This window comes from Homo sapiens, chromosome 4, assembly GCF_000001405.40.
Source record: "Homo sapiens chromosome 4, GRCh38.p14 Primary Assembly".
Lineage (NCBI taxonomy): Eukaryota > Metazoa > Chordata > Mammalia > Primates > Hominidae > Homo > Homo sapiens.
In genome coordinates this window covers 150,157,445-150,180,054 of record NC_000004.12, presented here as the reverse complement: position 1 = coordinate 150,180,054, position 22,610 = coordinate 150,157,445, and the positions used below count along the sequence as shown (strand labels likewise).

Genomic DNA, 22,610 nt, shown 5'->3' with positions numbered 1-22,610 from the left:
ATACTTGTCTAAAACCCAAATAATCAAACCATTTTTCTACATCTTACTTTTATGGAGTAAATGAATGGCAAGTATGTAAGCTTATATCTAGGATTTTTTTTTAAGGATCAACTTCTAAGTAATATCATAAGGTCGGTACAAGTTTAGGCCAATCTCCCATACCTTACGGAATACTGAATATGTTTGGAAATTGATATCTTCAAACAAACTGTCTAGCTCTTTAAAAACAAATTACAAACCCAAGTTACAATCACGGTTTTATTAGGTTGGTGCAAAAGTAACTGCAGTTTTTATCATTACTTTCAATGGCATAACAGAATGGGACTCTATTTGCTGACAAACTGGGAATTCTAAGGGTATAAATATGTATTAATAATATTATGACCTTTAAAATTTTTAAATCAATGCAAAACCTGCAGCATTTTTCGGGAATTGATTGTCTGTACATAAAAATAAGATTAGTCAACCCTTTTGGTGTCTGTTTAGCATACAATGAGCACATCCAGGTAGTTAAGACCCTTGGAATCAAGACTAAGAGAACCATCAATTAAGGAGGTATGGTTGGTTAATTCTATACTTATTTTGAAAATAAGTTAGTTAATTCTATACTTACTTTGGAAAACAACAACTATTCAGCACGAATAGCAAAGACACCATGACTACATTCTACTACAGTGGGACTATTTATGTTTCTAGGAAAATCATCACTATTAAAAGAAGAAATCTTGGCTGGGCGCAGTGGCTCACACCTGTAATCTCATCACTTTGGGAGGCCGAGGTGGGTGAATCATGAGGTTAGGAGATCGAGACCATCCTGGCTAACACGGTGAAACCCTGTCTCTACTAAAAATACAAAAAAATTAGCCAGGCATGGTGGCGGGCGCCTGTAGTCCCAGTTACTTAGGAGGCTGAGGCAGGAGAATGGCGTGAACCTGGGAGGCAGAGCTTGCAGTGAGCCGAGATCGCGCCACTGCACTCCAGCCTGGGCAACAGAGTGAGACTCTGTCTCAAAAAAAGAAAAGAAAAGAAATCTTGACTATTTTTATTTCTTCTTAATAAAATTATTTTCCCTCCCTTGGCATCGTGTATCAAAAGACAAGATGTATCTTGTATCAAAAGACAATCTTAATCTCTTTCTTAGCAGCCCCTACACCAACTTCTGATTTGTTGCATTTAACATTTGTGAGCTTAGAAAGAGATATTTCAAGTTTAGGAAACTTAAGTGTAAAATAAGAGTAAACTGGTTGAAAGTTAGAGGCTTTGATTAGGAGGAAAGAAAATAAACTTCAGTTCCCAAATTTCAGACTGCCGAATGACAAAGTTCTCTCTGCTTATTTCCTAGTTTTAAGTTGTGGTCCGGCAAGGTGAGTAGATTAGAGTCCAAAATCAGTGGGGCAGTTCTGTGCTGCAAACAAGATTTTGGTTTGTATAGCTGCATCTGTTTTCACATGACAAGGAATCTAAATTTTCATTTTCAAACCAACATAAATCTTACAAGAAAAGCAATAAGATTTTTTTTTTTTTTCCCTAGAGCAGCCTTCTTAGTAGATGAAGTTCTCACATCTACGGTCGAAGAAATCCTCTGAATAAGCTACATGCCTGTGGCTGTTCAGAAACGAAAAGCATGCCATCCGTTTGAATTATTTATGGCAACATTTTAAAAGTGAAATTGATATTGGCTGAGGCATACACCACAATTAAATTTTCCTGTTTAAAAGGCACCTGTTCCTGAAATACAGCCAAAACTTTTTATGCTAACATATGTACAACTGATTTGCAAGTTGATAGAGCAAATACTTAGTTTAGAAGAATTCAAAGCAAGATAGTTCATTATTTAGATTAATTGGCTTATCAATGCCTACTCTAAATATGCAAATACCCATAGAAAGGTTATGACTGTTGGCTGTGAACCTCTGCCCCCATTTACGTGGAGCTTCACAATGAGGGTAGAAAACTCTTTTTGTTTTCATTTTAAGGTAATTCATATATTTAATTCAGGATTGAAGAGTTACAGCAAATAATTCCCAGCCCCCAGAATTAACAAATATCATTTGGTCATGTCTACTTCAGATCCCTTTAATACATGGAAACAAAACATTACAAAGTTAAATTCTCTTTTGTTCCTGGTCCCCAGCCCCAGTGCCCTGCTTCCTTCCCCACCAACCCAGGACAATTCTGTCAAGCATTTGGCATATATCCTTCCAACCCATGTTTTCAGACCTCATATTATAGAGGTATGTGTCCACAGACAACCAGGAATATTATTTGGTATGTTTCAAAACTTTTATGTAAGTTATGTCATACTGATTATGTCTTTACAATTTTCTTTTTTCACTAAGTACTGATTTTGAAACCTAAGCAGTTCTTAGTTTTTCTTACACTCTCCTTTTTGGCTCATCGATCTATTCCTCAAACTTTTGCTTTTGAAAGATAATTCTATCATTAATATCATTACTTTTCATAAACTGCAAAGATAAATTCTTTATACCCTTAATACTTCCAAATTCTTTCAAATAAATGCCTTTCTCAGAATGTTCAATTTAGTGTATGTGTTATAACCATTTTAGTGACCAAAGTTCTTCGATGGAGGAAAAGATGTTTGAATCAATTCATTCCTCGCCCATAGACTACATCTCTAATTATGAAAAAGAAATGTGAAGCAAATGCTTGACATTTGGGCCTAAATATTTATGCAGAGCTGTTACTCCATACAGGGCTTCTTGACCAAAAGGAGCATCAACTCGGAAAAAAAAGCATTTTAAAATAACTAAAACCTAAAATTATTCAGGTTGGAGCTATATCTAAGCTTCTAGAGAAAACAAAAAAAACCCTGCAAGATGTCTTAAAATCACTGATTCATAGAAAGAGTTCCTTTAAAAAAACAAAGCAAAGGAAGGAAAAACAAAATCATATGAGATTTATTCTACATTATAACACAAGACAGGGTTTAAAGGCAGAGGACACTTGTTTCACAGGGAATGCATAAAAGGAATCCCTCCCTGAAGAATTCCTTAAGCTGGGAAATACTGATGAACTGTATGCATGTAGCATCTTATCTTTTTCTTGCATTCAGAGACATGATATCCGTTCAAAGAAACATCTATTTCTTTTTTGCAAATCTCTAGGGGTGTCAATTAAACTGGGACTGGGACCAGCAAGTAAGGGAAGTTGTCTGTAAGCATTTATCATCAAGCTCTATGCTTTGCTGGAGGAGCCAGCTGTCTTAAATAACCATCCCCTCCCTGGGGCCACAAGTCTGGGCAAGAATGCTACTCATGTCAGAAACTCATGTCATAAGATTAGATTTGAATGGAAAAGCAAAGGGAATGCAGTCTCTTTTCTCCAGCTGGGACTGATTATTCCCTTCCCAACAAGGAGGCTGTTATTTAGCCTGAGAAGAAGAGCCTCCTTACTTCTTGGATATTTTCCAATCCATCTTGGCACCTGAATGAATACCCTGCCTTACCACAGCATTAAGGCCTCTCAGCCCCTCTCCGGGAAGATGTTTTGGTACATTATTTCTCCATTATTATGAACAGAAGTCACCCTTGGATTCTCATGGTGTGGCAAGGAAACTTGGGAACGTAGGCAGGTGGATATGGCCTGATTGAATATCAAGGGTGGAGGCTTAGGTAGGTCACCATGAGCTTGCAGCAGCTCAGGAAAGTTAGGAAGACACCCAGCACCTGGAGACCGTATCTTTCTCGCTCTTACACCCAGAGCACTCAGCACTGTGCCTGCGCCTGTGCCGTAGGCACTCAGGGAATATTTAGTGATGGGTGAGTGGATGAATAGCACAGAGGCAGGGACTCCAGGCTCAGGGCTCATAGTATTAGATTCATGGCGGAAGGACAGCTTTTACTACAAGGATAGGCATGGAGATGGCTATGGAAAACCATGGGGCTTAGGCAGAGAACAGATGTGATGAGACAAGAGGGAGGCATGACAGCACAGAAGCAAGGATTCGAACATTAGTGGGATCCCAAACGTAAATAAATGTTACTTCCGCAATAAATTCCAGCCACCTATCTTCTTCTGCCATAGCTGGTTGCCTCGGGCAACTTACACGATTTAAAGATACTCTGGCTTACAGCACAGGCAAAGATAAATGGGAGCCCGTGTAGACCTCAGTGCAGGAGCTCTATTATGGACAGAAGAATAGGCCAAGAGTTAGGAAGGAGCACGGTACAGAGAGGGGAGAGAGGGCTTCTCCAATGCCAAGAGGCAGGGCCACTTCCACCTTACTAAAGCATGAAGACACGCCAAAATGAGCTACAGGAATCAAGACATATTCTACAGTAAGTGCAACACATTATTTAAGCTCACAGAAATTACAACTGTATACATTCATTACATGATCATTTTTCAAGACTAAATATGAAACCGTCAAAACTGTGAGGCCTGGGACAAAGACTCACCAAGTCCTTCCTCCACCACCTCCACCGGTTGACAACAAGCCCTGGCAGGGGACCAAAGAGGGGCTCCTTCATCTGGGTGAAGGACAGCCCTCACTTGCATTTCTCACGTGTTCTGCCTTAGTCTGTCGTGAGTCCCAATTCTCCGACCCATGGAAATACCCATTTCATTCCCCTCCAGCCACAGGAGAAAGACTGGCTCAAACACCCAGAAATTAGTTCCCTCCTGAATCTGGAGACCACAATTGCTGGTTCTGTTCAGCGTATGGTTGTTTTCTTCAGTACTTCCTAAATGGTTTGTGGAAAGTCAGCCAGCACTCTCACAGGTAACCGTCCTTGGTTGAAATCTCCCTGGGCTAAATAGTCCCACCAACACAGGAATTTGCTGAACAAAGCTTTATATATATATAAATATATATAGATAAATATATATAAATATATATAGATAAATTATAAATATATATAAATATATATAAATTATAAATATATATAAAATATACATAAATTATATATATATAAAAAATATAAATATATAAATATATATAAATATATATATAAATATATAAATATATATAAATATATATATAAATATATAAATATATATAAATATATATATATATATATATATTTTTTTTTTTTTTTGCGACGGAGTCTCACTCCATCACCCAGGCTGGAGTGCCATGTTGTGATCTCGGCTCACTGCAACCTCTGCCTCCCAGGTTCAAGTGATTCTCCTGCCTCAGCCTCCTGAGTAGCTGGGATTACAGGGGCACATCACCACCACCTGGCTAATTTTTGTATTTTCAGTGGATACAGGGTTTCACCATGTTGGTCAGGCTGGTCTTGAACTCCTGACCTCAGGTGATCCACCTGCCTCAGCCTCCCAAAGTGCTGGGATTAGAGGTGTGAGCCACCGCGCCCAGCCTAATGTATTTTTTTAAGTACCGTCTTCACTTAAAACATTATTTTGTGATTTATTCAGAAAAGTGGGACTCTGAAATTACTACATTCAGTAGTCTTGAACTCCTGACCTCGTGATCCGCCTGCCTCGGCCTCCTAAAGTGCTGGGATTACAGGTGTGAGCCACTGTGCCCGGCCTCAGGTCCCCTTCTTAAACGAAGCGTGGCCGCAAACACAAAAGTAGCTCACGGTTGCATGAATTTTCAAAAGCAGTCCCCGCTTCTGACAAACATTAGTCTGGGAGTGGCATGGAAGGCACGTTGTGAAAGAAGTGGATGGGACTATTATATAAAACAAGAAGCACTGCCTCTATACTCTTCCTGACTTAGGAGACCACCTTGGGAATATCAATGCTGACAAGCAGCAGCTTCATAAGAGAGGTCTGACAATGAGAACAGATTCCAACACTTCCTTCCTGGACAAACAGGATGCCGCATGGCTACTCAGTAGGGGAAGTGCTACGTACATCAAAGAGGGCAGAAAGGATGTCCAGAAACTGGCTCTGTGGGTGTGCACATGCGTCTGTGCCTGTGTGTGGTGAGTCCATGAGGGAAGCAGTTTTATCTGAGTAGTGGTGACTGCCATTCCCGGAGTTCATTTCCTGGGTATCACTAAAGTGCGGTGTCTGAGGACTGCTACTGTTAGCAATTCATGTTTTGATATACCCTCCTTCTTTGCCTTCAGTACAGTGGGATTAATAATCATGGAAGATTCATAACCCCTTCGACTTCATAGGAGTTCAGCAATCCTTCCCTCTTAAATCATCAAAATCGTTGTCAAATAAATAATTTGAATATTACTCTCATCACTGCCATGAGCTGTTCATGTAATAAAGCCCCTTCTGCTCCTTTTGTTTGAATTGGCTTGGCTCTCTTTTCTCTCCCAACCTCATCCAGGAGCAGCACTCCTATTAAAATTCATGAAGTTTCCCCCAATGCAAGTGTCTGATTGCAGCTGTCAGTTTCCCAGTTCAAGGATTTTCATACTGCCTGAGAGGACAATGCAAGGCACTCACTGCTAAGGAAATAGGTCAAGCTCAATTTTTCTATTTCAGTTCTGCTGCCAAAAGTGGAGACTTTTCCTTCTAGAAAAAACACATCCTTGTGGGTAGGCTCAGCACTTCAAAGGAGGTGAAGAGGGCACATTTCTTTCCTTCACCAGAGGGAGCTGCCATGGCTTCATCACACGACACCTCAGAATTCCTTAGGAGCCTTTATTCCATCTCTGGTGACACTCTGAAAGAGCAGTTCTGTCTGCTCTTTGTCTTATTATGCTTCACAGACATCGAGACACCAAACAACCCAGACCACAAGAAGAGGGAAAGTGAAGACAAGGCATCCAACACCAAAAAGATACTCAATGTCCAAAAGTCAGAGACTATCCTGTCGAGTCGGCTGGTTTTTTGCATCCCATGCTACCACTGCAGAGTGACGGGCAGGAGAGTGAAGGGCACTAGGTCTGCTGCACACCATAGCCCAGATCCATCTCCCTCACCCCACCTCTGCCCTTCCCCTAACTCCCATACATGTTACACCCCTCTACTTTTAGCAAAAACTGTGGAAATGATTTGTAAGAGGGAAGGAGAACAGAAGATCCTTGGATCCTCAGAAAGTCAACAGAATTCAGAACTAGTGCTAAATTACTAAATAAAACTAGAAGAGACCTAGCATTCACATGAGGCCTACCCCATTTCTAAAGATGTAGAAACAGAAACTTGGAGAAATTAAGTGGATTCTCTAAGACACAAATGTAGTACAGGGTTAAGAAGCAGCCAAGTCTCCTGACTTCTAGGTGTTCCTCTACTCCATTCCTACGACAAGGAAAGGGTAGAGATGGATAATTGAACACCCTTGGATCTAGCAAAATTTTTTGTACTGCCAGGCAAAGATGAGAAAGAGCAAGGTATCCCCCCCCCCCCCAAAAAAAAAAAGAACACTCTCTAGAGTGAGGAGAACTGCATGTTTAGTAGCCTTGAGAAAGTTATCAACTATTCTGGGTCTCACTTCCCTCATAAAACTAGGGGTTTGTGGGTCCATGATCTATGGATTTCTTTTTTTTTTTTTTTTTTTTTTGAGACGGAGTCTTGCTCTGTTGCCCCAGGCTGGAGTGCAGTGGCGCAATCTCGGCTCACTGCAAGCTCCGCCTCCCGGGTTCACGCCATTCTCCTGCCTCAGCCTCCTGAGTAGCTAAGACTACAGGCGCCCGCCATGATGCCCGGCTAATTTTTTTTTTGTATTTTTCGTAGAGATGGGGTTTCGCCATGTTAGCCAGGATGGTCTCAATCTCCTGACCTCGTAATCCACCCGCCTCGGCCTCCCAAAGTGCTGGGATTACAGGCGTGAGCCACCGTGCCTGGCCAGGATTTCTTTAGTCATACAGGCCACACTGCCAAATATAGGTTTGCTGAGAGCTGCTGCATATGGGCACAAAGAAAATTTAAAAAGGATGAATAAGAGAGGGGCTCTTTCATCAAAGAGCATTTCCATTTCTTTCCTATTATCTACTAGGTTAAGCCAAGTCTTCAAGCATGTGGAACAAATGACTCAGAACAAACTATGTTACTCAACTCAATAACTACCGTGTACAAAGCTCAAAGCTAGGCACTGGAGGAGCAACAACTAAAAAGAGCTTGAACAAACTGACAATCTCTTTAAGCAGAACATAAGAGACACGCAGATGAGAAGGCAATAATTTAACAACATTATTAAGTCATATTCTGGACATGTCACAAGATGCACGCATTTGTCAATTTATCTTTTACCCAGTCAGATGAGAGAGTGGCTGGGAGGACCCTGAAAAAGCTTCCTTAGAAAAGAAGTGGAATGAGTAGACCAGCCAGTGTGAGGGATTCAAGTATAATCACGGAAGAACTAAGAGCATGGACAATGGAAGTTGTGGTAATGCTATTTGACACTATTTCCAAGCACAAATTTTATGCGGTAGCCAATGTTTGGTTTTCTTAAACTCTCCTCTCCTCCTACCCTCAACCTAAGTCCTCAAGTTCTGCTACCTCAAGGTTGAGTTCAACTCATATTCTCCAAGAAGGCCCACTCCAGTTAACACTACAATCCCTCAACCCCGACATTTGCTTTCTGCATTAAATATGCTGAATTTTAATTTTGACCTTTTTCTAAATGAACAGCTGCAGCAAAGCCCAACTTTTAATTGAACTTAGTCAACTAAAATTAATTTTTTTTTTGAGACGGAGTCTCGCTCTGTCGCCCAGGCTGGAGTGCAGTGGCGCGATATCTGCTCACTGGAAGCTCCGCCTCCCAGGTTCACACCATTCTCCCGCCTCAGCCTCCCAAGTAGCTGGCACTACAGGTTTCCACTACCACGCCCAGCTAATTTTTTTGTATTTTTAGTAGAGATGGGGTTTCACCATGTTAGCCAGGATGGTCTCAATCTCCTGACCTCATGATTCACCCGCCTCGGCCTCCCAAAGTGCTGGGATTACAGGCGTGAGCCACCGCGCCCAGCCAACTAAATCATCTCTATTTTATGTGGGTATGTCTGAAATCAGTAAGACTGGAAATTCCTTAAGAGAGATTCAGACAATACAGATTTCTGAGTCATAGACTTAGAAGTTACCATTGAAATCATTTAATCCAAATTCACTCAGTTTATAGGGATGCTACCTATAGAAGACCAAATAAATTAAGAATGTATGCTGAGGGCATTGTGAATCTGGCCACTGCAGAAGCGAAAGTGCAATTTCTGAAACTGGGCAGAATTTTTTTTTTCAGTGACTGTTACTTTAATTTCTGCAGTAATCACTTTTATACAAGAAAGCTCAATTTAGATGTCTCCATTATCAAAAGCACTTAATTTTACATGGATTGCCTCTAAACTTATGGTATGTCAGAGTCATGTTGTACAGGTTTTTTTCCAAGAATGAAGGATCAAATAAATACCAAGATTCTGGTCTTTGTTCAGCCTCTAAATGATGATGAAAATGTGGTCAGGTAACTCAGCCTCTTAATATTGCAGTTCCAATTTCCCCCTAGGGGAAAGGAAGATATCAGACCAAGTAAACTATAAAGAACTTCCCCAGCTGTAATGTTCTATTTTTCATTTCCCAGTATCAGAGGGAATATCTTCTATGAACCTCGCTACTCGCACTGCAAATGTATATCCTCCTCGTTTCCCCTACTGTTTCTAGCATAATTTTGAAAATGTTTAGCTTGTTGTGAACTGGAGTGAGCTCAATTTTCCTCACAGTTGTGGTACTCAGGAAAACACTTCTACTGCTTTTCCCCTCCCACCTTATCCTCGCCCCAGCTAAATATCAACAGGGTTATTTCCTTTATCTTTTTCTTTCTTTTAAAAAAAAACTGGCCGGGCATGGTGGCTCATGCCTATAATCCCAGAACTTTGGGAAGCTGAGGTGGGTGGATCATCTGAGGTCAGGAGTTCAAAACCAGCCTGGCCAACATGGTGAAACCATGTCTATAGTAAAAATACAAACATCAGCCAGACATGGTGGTAATCCCAGCCACTCGGGAGGCTGAGGCAGGAGACTCGCTTGAACCCAGGTGGTAGAAGTTGCAGTGAGTCAAGATCATGCCACTGTACTCCAAGCCTGGGTGTCAGAGTGAGACTCTGTCTCAAGAAAATAAATAAATAAAAATTTAAAAACTACTTGCATCTAGGGTTGGTTAGATAAAATACTGGATACCTAGTTAAATCTGAATTTCAGATAAGCAACAGATCATTTTTTAGTATAAGTACATCCTGTTAAATAAATTTGGCCTGCGGCTGTTCTGTATTTTAAGTCCCTACTTCAGGAATTATAACCTAACTTAACTGAAAGCCTAACTTAGGTGTACTGTATACTTTTGTAACAATTAGCTGTCTGTCAATCACAGGCCACCAATGGATTAGATCATGATCAAATAAAGCCAATGCCCAGCTGTAACCAATAAAACTGTTTCTGTACCCTACTTCTATTTCTATCCATAAATGCTGTGTGCCCACACTGCAGAGTAGAGCTCTCTGAACCACACTTTTTTTTTTTTTTTTTGAGACGGAGTTTCACTCTTGTCACCCAGCTGGAGTGCAATGGTGCGATCTTGGCTCACTGCAACCTCCATCTCCCAGGTTCAACCGATTCTCCTGCCTCAGCCTCCTGAGTAGCTAGGATTACAGGTGCCTGCCACCACACTGGCTACTTTCATATTTTTAGTAGAGAAGGGGTTTCACCATGTTGGCCAGGCTGGTCTAGAACTGCTGACCTCAGGTGATCCAACCGCCTCAGCTTCCCAAAGTGCTGGGATTACAGGCGTGAGCCACTGCACCAGGCCTCTGAACCCACTTCTTGTTCGGAAGGCTGCCTGATGTACGAATCATTCTATGCTCAAATAAATTGTTTAATTTGTCTAAAGTTTTTAACAGTCCATTTTTTTCCTTCTAAATATGATAACCCTAAAGCATCAGTCAGTTCAGTCCTGTGCAGGGATTTTTAGAAGTTAATTTTTATGTTGGGAATATTTTTGTCATTTTCCAGAAGGAAAGGTCCTACTTGTGTCAGATGAGAGTCCTGGGTAAAAGACTGTGCCTTAAGCTAAGAAAGGAAGAACAAAGATGTGTGAAATCTAACCAACAGAAACACAAGGAATTACGGGGGGTGGGGAGGGGGTGCACTTTGGCTTCCAATGGTAGTGGGGGCAGAACTTTGTAGTATTAAGGAACACACTCTTACTGAGCCCTAGGATGGACTGCTCATAACATCTATTAAACACTGCATCTCCAGATCAAGCCAAATCATATACTTGATATTGAAAAGCAAGATCACCTTGGGAAAACTGAGCTAACTGGCTTGGTAACCAGCTCAACAGTCAGAATGAACTAAAATGCAGAACTGATCAGTGAGAATTGTGGATTGGCCATGTCTGGAGCACTCACTATACGAAGGAAAATACACGCAATGCTAAGTGTCACTGCCAGATTGTTGCAAAGTTATTACCCAACGAGTATTAAAACCCATCACTACTTTGGGATTGCAATAGTGGCCACACATTCAGAAGTACAGACCTTGGTTCTGTTAGCAGCAGAACGTATCCAAGTCACAGAGCACCAAAGTATGTTCCTGGTGGTGAATCCACATGCGTCTGCAGCAAACTCAATTCTTACCTCCTCAGAAGAAAGAATTCAACTAAGGGGCATAAGGCAGAAGGAGAGACCAAGGCAAGTTTTGGAGCAGGAGTGAAAGTTTATTAAAAAGCTTTAGAGCAGGAATGAAAGGAAGTCTTTACACTTGGAAGAGGGCTAAGTAGGTGACTTGAGAGATCAAGTGCACAGTTTGACCTCTGACTTGGGTTTTTTTTTTTTTTTGAGATGGAGTCTCGCTCTGTCACCCAGGCTGGAATGCAGTGACACGATCTCGGCTCACTGCAAGCTCTGCCTGCCGGGTTTACTTACGCCACTCTCCTGCCTCAGTCTCCAGAGTAGCTGGGACTACAGGCGCCTGCCACCACGCCCAGCTAATTTTTTGTATTTTTAGTAGAGACGGGGTTTCACTGTGTTAGCCAGGATGGTCTCGATCTCCTGACCTCGTGATCCGCCCGCCTTGGCCTCCCAAAGTGCTGGGATTACAGGCGTGAGCCACCGCACCTGGCCTGACTTGGGGTTTTACACGTTGGCATGCTTCTGGGGTCTTGCGCCCTCCTTCTCCCCCAGTTCTTCCCTTGGGGTGGGCTGCCTGCATGCACAATGGCCTTTCAGCACTTGGGAGGGCCTGCATGCACAGTGTGTTTACTGGAGTTGTACGCATGCTCACCTGAGGCATTCTTCCCTTACCAATCTAGCATTCCTAGAGGAAGGTCATATACCAGTTAAACTCTGCCATTTTGCCTCTTAGTGCACATGCTTGAGCCCACTCGCCCAGCTTCCGAGATCTTATGGGGAAGCTGCTGATCACCAGTTTTGGGTGTTTTCTATCTGTTGGGAGACTGTCCTTCTCTGGCGCTGGCTGCGACCAATCATTATTTTAAACTGCCTGACCATCACTTGATGGTCGCCTGACACTCCTGGTGGAGGTTGGGGAGAGCCATCTCTTGCCCTGCTCATGCCTGACTAGCTACCTACTGTAACAGTTCCTGTCCTGGTCAGCTAATAATCTAATGGTAGGACTGCATTGAATGAGCCCCTCTCCCTTTTTTGCCGGTAGGTGTGGATAACGGTAAGATCTAGCTTTCCTACTCAAGTACGAGATTTAGTCTCAAAAGTTAAATTCTATTAAGGCCTAAATTGAGGTCCGTAGTATGATCTGGCTGACACTGGTGCAAAGTCAAAGGGCAGATACAAACTATTTCCTCCTGCAACTTCACAGGAAACCTTCCATGAATATGAAAAGTCTCTTTAGCAGTCACTTGTGTAGTCACAAACAGTCTGTCCTTCATAAGACAAGGACATAACTACTGCAACAGCCCAAAGAGCTGCTTCTCTGCAGGCCTGCTGCCAGGCTTCCGAGATGGCTTTTCTCTCTCCTCCTTCCAATTGAAACAGATATTTTTTTTTTGGCATTTTTCCCTCTTAAAATCAGGAAAGCACATTCTAAACTGCCTTTAACTAACTGATGGGGTTCTGATGAGTACAATTTATCTCCTGAATATCAAAGAGAATTACCTCGACCCCACCCCAGTAAGTGCCTCCCAATGAGAATAATGCACCCAGGCGGGCCCAGTGAACTACTCTTTAATCAGTGGCTATTTTACATGATCATAGTTATCATTAGGCAGTGTCCCGCCCACCACTTATCCTTAAGACAAGGAAGATCTCTGAAAAGGAGGCAAGGCTCCCTGCCATTCAGAAGGATCTGAAAAAAGTCAGAAGTGCTGCTTTTTGAGCGTTGTCTCCTAATCAGAAAAGGACCAGCAATCAGCCCAGCAAGCACCCACCTCTTCATGACAGTGCACAAAGATTGCATGAACAAAAAGGACTTAATCACTGCTTGGAGTGCCTTGCTCTAATTACAAACTCAGATAAATTATGCATTAACATTTGCATCTTAGGTAGTCATTTGTCACACAAAGAAAACAGGAAAATGTGTACTCATCACACAAGGCAGCTCCCAGAACTTCACCCCTTCAAAGATAAAACAACAAGGATATACTCGCAATTTCACAAGTAATGAAGAATGCTGGGGACAAGTAGAATATCGGTTTTTGTTTTTTGTACTTTTTTTTGAGACAGGGTCTCACTCTGTCACTCAGGCTGGAGTGCAGTGTCACAATCATAGCTCACCACAGCCTTCATCTCCCAGGCTCAAGTGATCCTCCTAACTCAGCCTTCCAAGTAGCTAGGACCACAGGTGCATGCCACCACACCTGGCTAATTTTTTTAAAAATTTTATGTAGAGATGGGGTCCCGCTATGTTGCTCAGGCTTGTCTTGAACTCCTGCGCTCAGGTAATCCTCCCACCTCAGCCTCCCAAAGTGCTGGGATTACAGGTGTGAGCTACCATTCCTGGCCGTGTTAGATTTTTAAATAACTTCTGTGTTGGTATTAATATCTAAATTACCTCCATTAAATGATTAGAATCCAAACTCGGACACCTGGTGTCTTCTTAGTTTTGTGTGACTACAATAGAACACCACAGTCTGGGTAGTTTATAAAGAAAAGAAATTTATTTCTCACGGTTCTGGAAGCTGGGAAGTCCAAGGGCTTGGCACTGGTGTCTACAGATGGTCATCCCACAGTTGAAGGGGGAAGGTGGAAGTGAACACACAAGACAGAGGCACCAGGCGCCAGACTCACTTTATAACAACTCACTCTCATAACTCACCTACTCCCATAACAATGACAGTCCATTCATGAGGGCTCTGCCCTCATTATCCAATCAGATCTTATTAGGCTCTACCTTTCAACACTGTTGCACTGGGGATTAAGTTTCCAACACATGAACTTTTGGGGGACACATTCAAACCACAGCATCAGGTGAAACAATTAAAATGAACCTAGGTAACACTGTAAATGTAACAAGGTAGCCCTTCCATCAGTTCTAAGCAGAGGACTCACAAACCTAACAATCTAAGGTTTAAGGTTTCTGCTTACTTTTTTATAGGCCAATTTATGTTCTCTTTGAAATAGGTTCTCTCCTCCAGCGATATTCACTATTCCAACCATAAAATGTTTATTGTGTATTCAAGCTAATATGCAGCATGCAGCTGCTTATGGCAACAACTGTGGCTAATATGCTGCACATTTAAAAGCAATCTTTAGCAATTGGAGCAAATTTTCCAATCTAACCAACTTCATGTGGGAAGACAAATCAAAAAAAAAACTCAACCCTGGGCAACCCAATCAGCAGTTATTGTATATAAAATTACCACCCAATTCTTAGCAAACACGCATGGCATTTCTAACAGCTGCCAGATCTATAGAACAGAAACAGTGCTGGTGTACTCAAAGGCAGACAAAGATCAGAAGAAACCACAGAATTAAACACTCCACAGCTCAATGACCACTTTAATTTAATCACAACACCCATAGTCCTCAGCAGTTGTTAAAAGTGTTTTTAAACAAGGAAGTTCCTCTCCCGAAGGTATATTCCATCATTACAGGCATATGGAATGTTCATGCCCTCAGGGAATCTTCTCTAAAGATTATGAATGAATTTGTCTCAGGATGGTTAAACCCATTTATTCACTACAAAATCAGAGATTACTCATGTAAACCAAAACAAGTGTTGTCATAAATTGGTGTGCTCAAAATCTTTAAAAGGAGAACAGTAAGGGTCTTACAGTGTGACAAGAATCAAGATAATTTTTGTTTCACCCTATACAATGATATTGCAACTCCAAATGAATTTTTAGTACTCCAGGAGATATGTTATGGTTAATCTGTACTAATAAAATATAACTGGACTTAATTTTTTTTTTGAGACAGTGTCTCACTCTGTTGCCCAGGCTGGAGTGCAGTGGCACAATCTCAGCTCACTGCAACCTCCACCTCCTGTGTTCAAGCAATTCTCCTGCCTCAGCCTCCCAAGTAGCTGGGACTACAGGTGTGCACCACCACACCCAGCTAATTTTTATATTTTTAGTAGAGATGGGGTTTCATCATGTTGGCCAGGCTGGTCTCGAACTCTTGACCTCAGGTGATCCACCCACCTCGGCCTCCCAAAGTGCTGGGATTACAGGTGTGAGCCACCACATCCGACCCTTAAAATATTTTTAAACAATATATGTACTTAGCTAATTCATTTATCTACAAATTAACAGCTGTTAATCTATAGACTATCTGGAATTGTTGCAATTTGCTGATGAGCTATAGGCTTTTAATTTGGGAGTAGGGTATGGGGGTAGGGGGGTAAGTAAGTAAACTGAAAATATTCCTTAGAGCAGTGGCTGCACAGTTCAAAAATGCTGATGCCACAGGCCCAACCCAGACCACTTAATCAGACTCTGGGGCATGGGGCCAGGCATCTGTATTTCATCAGTAACAGCCAAAGTCTCTCCAAGGTCATCCTAATTAGCAGCTGGGGTTAAAATCAACTGTCTTAAAGAGACAGACATTATACTCTAACTTCCAAGGAAAACTGAGGGTCAACTTTATATTGCTGGCCTAAAAACCATAAGGAAATGTCAGAAATAAAATGGGCTGTGTTAGGCTGGTGCAGTGGCTTATGCCTATAATTCCAGCACTTTCAGAGGCCAAGGCAGGAGGATGGGCCAGGAGTTTGAGACCAGCCTGGTCAACATAGTGAGATCACAGCTCTACAAAACAAAAAGCAAAACAGATGTTGCAAAGGGTTGGTACTGTCCTTAACCATGGAAAGTAGAAAATAATTATAAATAAAATAACTAACTTCCTAAAATTGGTAAGAACTTTGGTGACTCTTCATCTCAATCATAATCATTCATTTTCTTGAGGTCCAAATGACAATGCAAGACAGCAGCTTTTAGAAATTGAAAAATGTGATACAAATTAAGTGCCTAAAACATATAATCTTGAGCATGCCTGCACAATATAGTAACTGCTTAATAACTAATGTTTACTGAGTTCTTACTGAGTTCTAAAGCCAGAGAGAATATTTTCTAGATAGTATCTTATTTAATTCAGACAACTGAGCTCTATAATTTTCTTCATAGTATAGACAAGGAAATGGGCTCAGAGAGATTAAGTTATATAATGAAATCACACACCATGGGGTGGCGGTTGGGCAAGGATCCTGGGCTTTGAACTCCTCTATAATGTAGTAGTTATTGAAGAAAAAAGGGAATGAATGATATTTAAATGGCTGGTTGGTTTATTTATTTATTTATTTATTTATTTATTTTGAGACGGAGTCTCACTCTGTCACCCAGGCTGGAGTGCAGTGGCAGAGGCTCAGCTCACTACAACCTCTGCCTCCCAGGTCCAAGCGATTCTCCTGCCTTAGCCCCCCAAGTGGCTGGAACTATAGGTGCCTGCCACCACGCCCAGTGAATTTTTGTATTTTTGGTAGAGACAGGGTTTCACCATGTTGGCCAGGCTGGTCTCAAACTCCTGACCTCAGGAGATCTGCCTGTCTCAGCCTCCCAAAGTGCTGGAATTACAGGCGTGAGCCACCGAGCCCAGCCTTAAATGACTGGTTTCAAAAGATAGGACTCCATTTGCTTAGGTACCGCCCTGCAGAATGATTAACCAACTGTCGTTTTGCCAATTTTGGAAGAAAGAAAGATGTGTTGCGCAGTCACAGTCAATTCTCAGTACCAACAATTCGTTAGACAATTCTAATGTCATATTAAATAGTAAGCTAAATGATAAGGCCAGGAGGCAGAATAAGTGAGTGAAAAGAGAAGATCTGTCAAATGTGGGTCTGAGTTATTGTCCTCTATGTTGCAGCTACTTCTAGGTTAAACTTATCAATGTCCCAGGAAGCAAAGAGTACGTACAGCAAGGAAGGCCTTTAAAATAGAAGACTTAGGCTGGGCACAGTGCTCATGCCTAAAATCCCAGCACTTTGGGAGGCTGAGGCAGGAGGATCAGTTGAGTCTAGGAGTTTGAGACCAGCCTGGGCCACAGAGTGAGAGTGCATCTCTATAAAATAAAAAAATTTAAAAATTAAAAAAAATAGAAGACTTAGAAAAAGCTCAGAAACATAATTAAGACATACATTTAATTTGAAATTACATTCAATAAATTAATTTAAAATATCTAGATATTTATTAGGTTAACTAAAATTAACATTCTGATCTTTCACAACATGGGATGGAAATTTTATGAGGAAAGTTATACAAATATATATGGAAGATAATACTACTTAATAAAGTTGGCCCTAAATCCCAATACTTGAAGAGCAGAGGGTCTAAAGTTTCTCCTCTGTCCCTAATAACTCAACTTTAATGTATTAAAAATAAATCAGGCTGGATGCAGTGGCTCATGCCTGTAATCACAGCACTTTGAGAGGCCGAGGTTGGAGGACTGCTTGAGGCCAGGAGTTCAAGACCAGCCTGGGCAACATAGCAAGATCCCATCTCTACAAAAAATGCAAAAAATTAGCCAGGCATGGTGGCGCATGCCTATGGTGCCAGCTATTTGGGAGGCTGAGGTGGGAGGATCATCTGAGCCCAGGAGGTTGAGGCTGCAGTGAGCCATGTTTGTACAACTGCACTCCAGCCTGGGCAACAGGGCAAGACCCTGTTTCAAAATAAGTAAATAAATCAAAACCAATAAACAGACGGTGGTGACATGAAGAAAGTCACAATAAGGTCAGAAATGTTCATGACTCTGCTGAGGTCTGACCAATCCTGGGAAGAACTACAAAGCCATAAGCCCCTAGCAGTAAGGTTACAAGATACAACCTTGAAGCAACACCCCTCTATAAAGGTAAGAAGTCAGACACAGACATCACACAAAATGTCTTATTATTTTCTTTCACATTGAAGTTCCCTGGACAATTCAGCCCTAAAATAATAGTTTCACAAATTGCAATCTCTCATCTCCCACTTTCCCAGCCCTTTGTAATTTGCCAATGTAATAAAATACTTACAAATGGAAACACATCTCTGTGGATTCTGGGTGCATCTGTGCATACTTTTCAATGTGTATAACCTGGCTTCCTTCCTTTCCTCACAAACTGTTAATATATTAGAAAACCAAACTGATTCCAGAGATCTTCTGTGAGTTACTGTATTGAATTATGGGGTGTCACATTGTCTTTTATCAGTCTCATGTCTTATAAATTATCTGATATAATCTAAAGAAGTGGGAACCATCTTAGACCTCTGGGAACCAAAAAATTTGTATTTTGTCTCTTTGTAATGCACATCCTAGATATATTACCCTCTGAACACACAAACACAGACTTGTATCTGGCTCTTGAGGGAAGGCCTATCAAGTAGCTCTGCAGGTGTCTGATTCACCAGTATCCATTTATTTTTCTAATTTATAGAGGTTAGTTGAAACTGCAAATAGAAAACACATTTATTACTGGTTTACAAGACCCTTGTGAGTTAAAAGATAGCCTGTATCTGGGCAATTCTACTCTGATTTACATCACAAAAGAGATGCTTCCTCACTTACCCTGAAAGTAAGTTTTCTATATCTTCATTGACTAACTTTCAGTCCCTGTTCACAATCTATATACTTTAAAGTTCATACAAAGTAGTCAGATGTTTACCTTAAATTGTTTCACTCCTTTTTGTCATTTCTTTTTGACACAAATGAATTTACCTCTTTGAGTTTTTGTATATTTGTTTTTTTAAGTTACAGGGACAGATTATATTATTAATTGAAAAAACATTAAATTTGGAATCAGGAGTCCTGCTTCCTGTCACCAAACATCTGTGTCATTTAAGTCACAGCCTCTCTGGAGCTTTAATTATCTCACCAATAACATGGAGGCACTGGGGCAGAGGATTTCTGAGGCTGTTTCCTATCCATGACCCAATAACACAAATGTTTCCAAATATCCGGAGCAAAGAGGCCCTTTCTTTTCCTTCTCTCAGAACAGAGTCCAACAGGAATGAACCTGATGGTTGGATGGGACAGTCTACCCAATTAGTGCCTTTCTCAACTTTGGAGTCTTAGCGGAACACAGTAATGATTACAAATCTTGGCTCTATCCCAATTTACTGTGAAACAAAACAAGTCATTTAGCTATTTAATACTGCCATTTCCTCAGCCATACAATAACCTTGTAGAAGCTTGAACAAGTTATTTAACTTCCTTGAGTTTTGGGTTTTTAATTGCCCAGGGACAACAACAATCTCAAAATATACAGATAAACTTCACTGGCATCCTTGGGACCTCCTGATCAACATGGTGCTTGAATACTGAAAGTAAATTAAATCCTAAAAGCTGCAAAATAACAAACATGTAACTCTCAGGGGACAAAAATGCTGCTCTTAAAGCACTCTCCACAAGGAGTCATCAAAATCGGGCATGGTGGCTCACACTTGCAGTCTCAGCACTCTGGGAGGCCGAGGCAGGTGGATTGCTTGAGCTCAGGAGTTGGAGACCAGCCTGGGCAACGTGGTGAAATCTTGACTCTACAAAAAGTACACAAGTTAGCCAGGCATGTGGTAGCACATGTCTGTAGTCCCAGCTACTTAAAGAGGCTGAGATGGGAAAACCACTTAAGCCTGGGAGGTCAAGGCTGCAGTGAGCAGCGATCACACCACTGCACTCCACCCTGGACGACAGACTAAGACCCCGTCTCACACACACACACAAAAATAATAAAAATTAAAAAAAAAAAAGTCATCAAAGAGGGTCTGCAAACAAAAGAGTAAAGAAGAAGGAAAAGGAAGTCACACTTGCTTATTACCTTTTATATGCTGGATCATTGTATTTTTTACGTTTCCCTCATTCCTAAGTCACGTGCCCAGGGATTCCTGTTCTAGCAAAGCGGAACATATGAAAACGTGTTCTCTCGACCACCTCCCCTCTCACTGTCCCAACTCCCATCTAATCCAAATTCCATTTTGCCACTAGGATTATTTTTCTAAAAATACTTTTCTGATCATATCACTTTCACTGTCATGACCAATTCAATTTACCTTCGTGCAAATTGGGAAAGGCTTCTCTTCGTCAATGAAGATTTTAATTATGATATTACTGCACATCATGAAAGCCCTGCTCAAAGAAGAGGTCAAATGTTACAGCTTTACCTTCATAAAGAGAAGCCCACACTCTCAGCTTTTCACTACACCCCCACCACATGCCAGGGCACGTGTGCTGTAAGCACGTACATTTAATTGGCCCATGCCTAGGAAAGGTGACTGTGTCAGGTTTCAAAGTGGGTGAGAGACAGGGATTAGGAACCTAAGAGTGGCAGAGAAGAAGTGACAAGAGAAGCCACCTTTGGGGACATCCAGGAGGCAGATGCAATGGTGCAGCAGACACATGTATGTGTACCATAAAGTGGTGTGTGTATGTGCATAGAGGGTGGGCTGGTGGAATTCATGAAGGAAGAGTTCTCTTCTGCAGCTCCAGGATTCAACTGTGAAGCCTGAAATCTCTACACCAGCCACTCTCATGTTAGCTCATGTCTAGGATGTGAATGGCACTCCCTTTGATGTGGTGTCTGTCCTTCCGGAGGGCACAATATAAGAATCTGACATGGACTCCTGGAGTGTCACACTCCTGCTCACTTTGTTAATTCCTCATTGCTCAAAGAAAAAAATTCAAATCCCTCAGCAAAATCGTATTCAACATCCTTCAGAAACTGGCTCCACATCTCACTATTTCTTCTTCTCAACATACTCCCTAAGGTTTCTAAATACTACGCTATTCATGATTCTTCCAGTAAGCCCTGCATTTTCATTCCTCCATGCCTGAGGAACCTTGGGTTGTTTTTCTGCTTGCATTTCTTTCTTTTTTCTTTTCTTTTTTGAGATGGTGTCTCACTGTCACCTCAGCTGGAGTGCAGTGGCCCAACCACAGCTCTATATTCAAAAATCCAATTCATCCACCTCCAACAAATGCCACCTTTCCTGTGCAGTTTTTTCTAACTACTTTCAGCAGAATTAATCACTACTATTTCAGTTATTCATTCAAGAAACAGTTAATGAACATCTCAGTCTGTTATATTTATCATTGTATTACAACATTTTAGTTTACATATTGAAGAATTCCTTCGAGACATTTATATTCCCAGAGACTGGTATGGTACCCAACATATATTAGGTGCTCAATAGAGGAATGCAACTTTACATCCCCAGTACTCTATCCAGTAAGCAAAATAGAGAGTAACCTTTATCAATTAGCTCATGCATTCTCAAAGGGGCAGTGTGCCTCTGTGGTGGAGGGGAGGCAAAAATAACTTATTGGGAGGTGTTATAGACTGAATTATATCCCCCTAAAATTCATATGTTGAAGCCCTACCCTCTAGGACAGCAGAATGTGACTGTATTTAGAGACACAGTCTTTAAAAAGGTAATTAGGGTTAAATGAGGTCATATGAGTAGGCCATAATCCAATGTGACCAGTGTCCTTATAAGAGAAGAAAATGTGGACACACACAGATGCCAGGGTGTGCATGCATAGAGGAAAAGTCATGTGAACACACAGCCAAAAGGGGGAGGTGCCTCCGGAGAAATCAAACCTGCTGACACCTTTATCTTGAACTTCTTCTCATCTCCAGAACTGTGAGAAAATAGATTTATGTTGTTTAAGCCACCCAGTATGTAGTATTTTATTATGGTGGCCTTAGCAAATTAACAATAAAGGGAGCTAAACATCGTAGATATTACAATGATTTGTGGCCCTCCAAAGTTCAACCCTTACTATTTATCTCGTTAGAATAAAATTAAAAGATTCTGGGCCAGGCACGGCAGCTCATGCCTATAATCCCAGCACTGTGGGAGGCTGAGGCAGGCAGATCACTTGAGCTCAGAGAGTTCAAGACCAGTCCGGAAACATGGCAAAACTCCATCTCTGCCAGGAGCGGTAGCTCATGCCTGTAATCCCAGGACTTTGCAAGGCCATGGCAGGCGGATCACTTGAGGTCAGAAGTTCAAGACCAGCCTGGCCAACGTGGTGAAACCCGGTCTCTAATAAAAGTTCAAAAATTTGCTGGGCATGGTGGTACATGCCTATAAGCCTAGCTACTGGGGAGGTTGAGGCATGAGAATCACCTGAACCCGGGAAGTGGAGGCTGCAGTGAGCCGAGATCACACCACTGCACTCCAGCCTGAACAAGAGAGAGAGACTCCAGCTCAAAAACAAACAAACAAACAAACAAACAAACAAACAAACAAAAAAACCATCTCTACAAAAAATACAAAATTTAGCTGGGCATAGTGG

At 41.5% G+C, this 22,610-nt stretch overlaps 1 protein-coding gene across 13 annotated transcripts in view, besides 2 other annotated features; it reads right to left on the bottom strand.

The window, feature by feature from the left end:
- DCLK2 (doublecortin like kinase 2) overlaps positions 1-22,610 on the bottom strand; it is a 178,994-nt gene that overhangs the window by 77,384 nt on the left and 79,000 nt on the right. The gene's annotated exons all lie outside the window — the stretch shown is intronic.
- Positions 1,908-4,734: an enhancer, noted in NCBI's record as "VISTA enhancer hs1614". NCBI's record gives its function as "enhancer in: branchial arch[4/5]" and the evidence as "EXISTENCE:transgenic organism evidence [ECO:0001131][PMID:17130149]".
- Positions 19,224-19,518: a silencer, noted in NCBI's record as "tiled region #14262; HepG2 Repressive non-DNase unmatched - State 24:Quies, and K562 Repressive non-DNase unmatched - State 24:Quies". NCBI's record gives its function as "represses a minimal TATA promoter and a strong SV40 promoter by Sharpr-MPRA in HepG2 and K562 cells {active_cell/tissue: HepG2 | K562}" and the evidence as "EXISTENCE:reporter gene assay evidence [ECO:0000049][PMID:27701403]".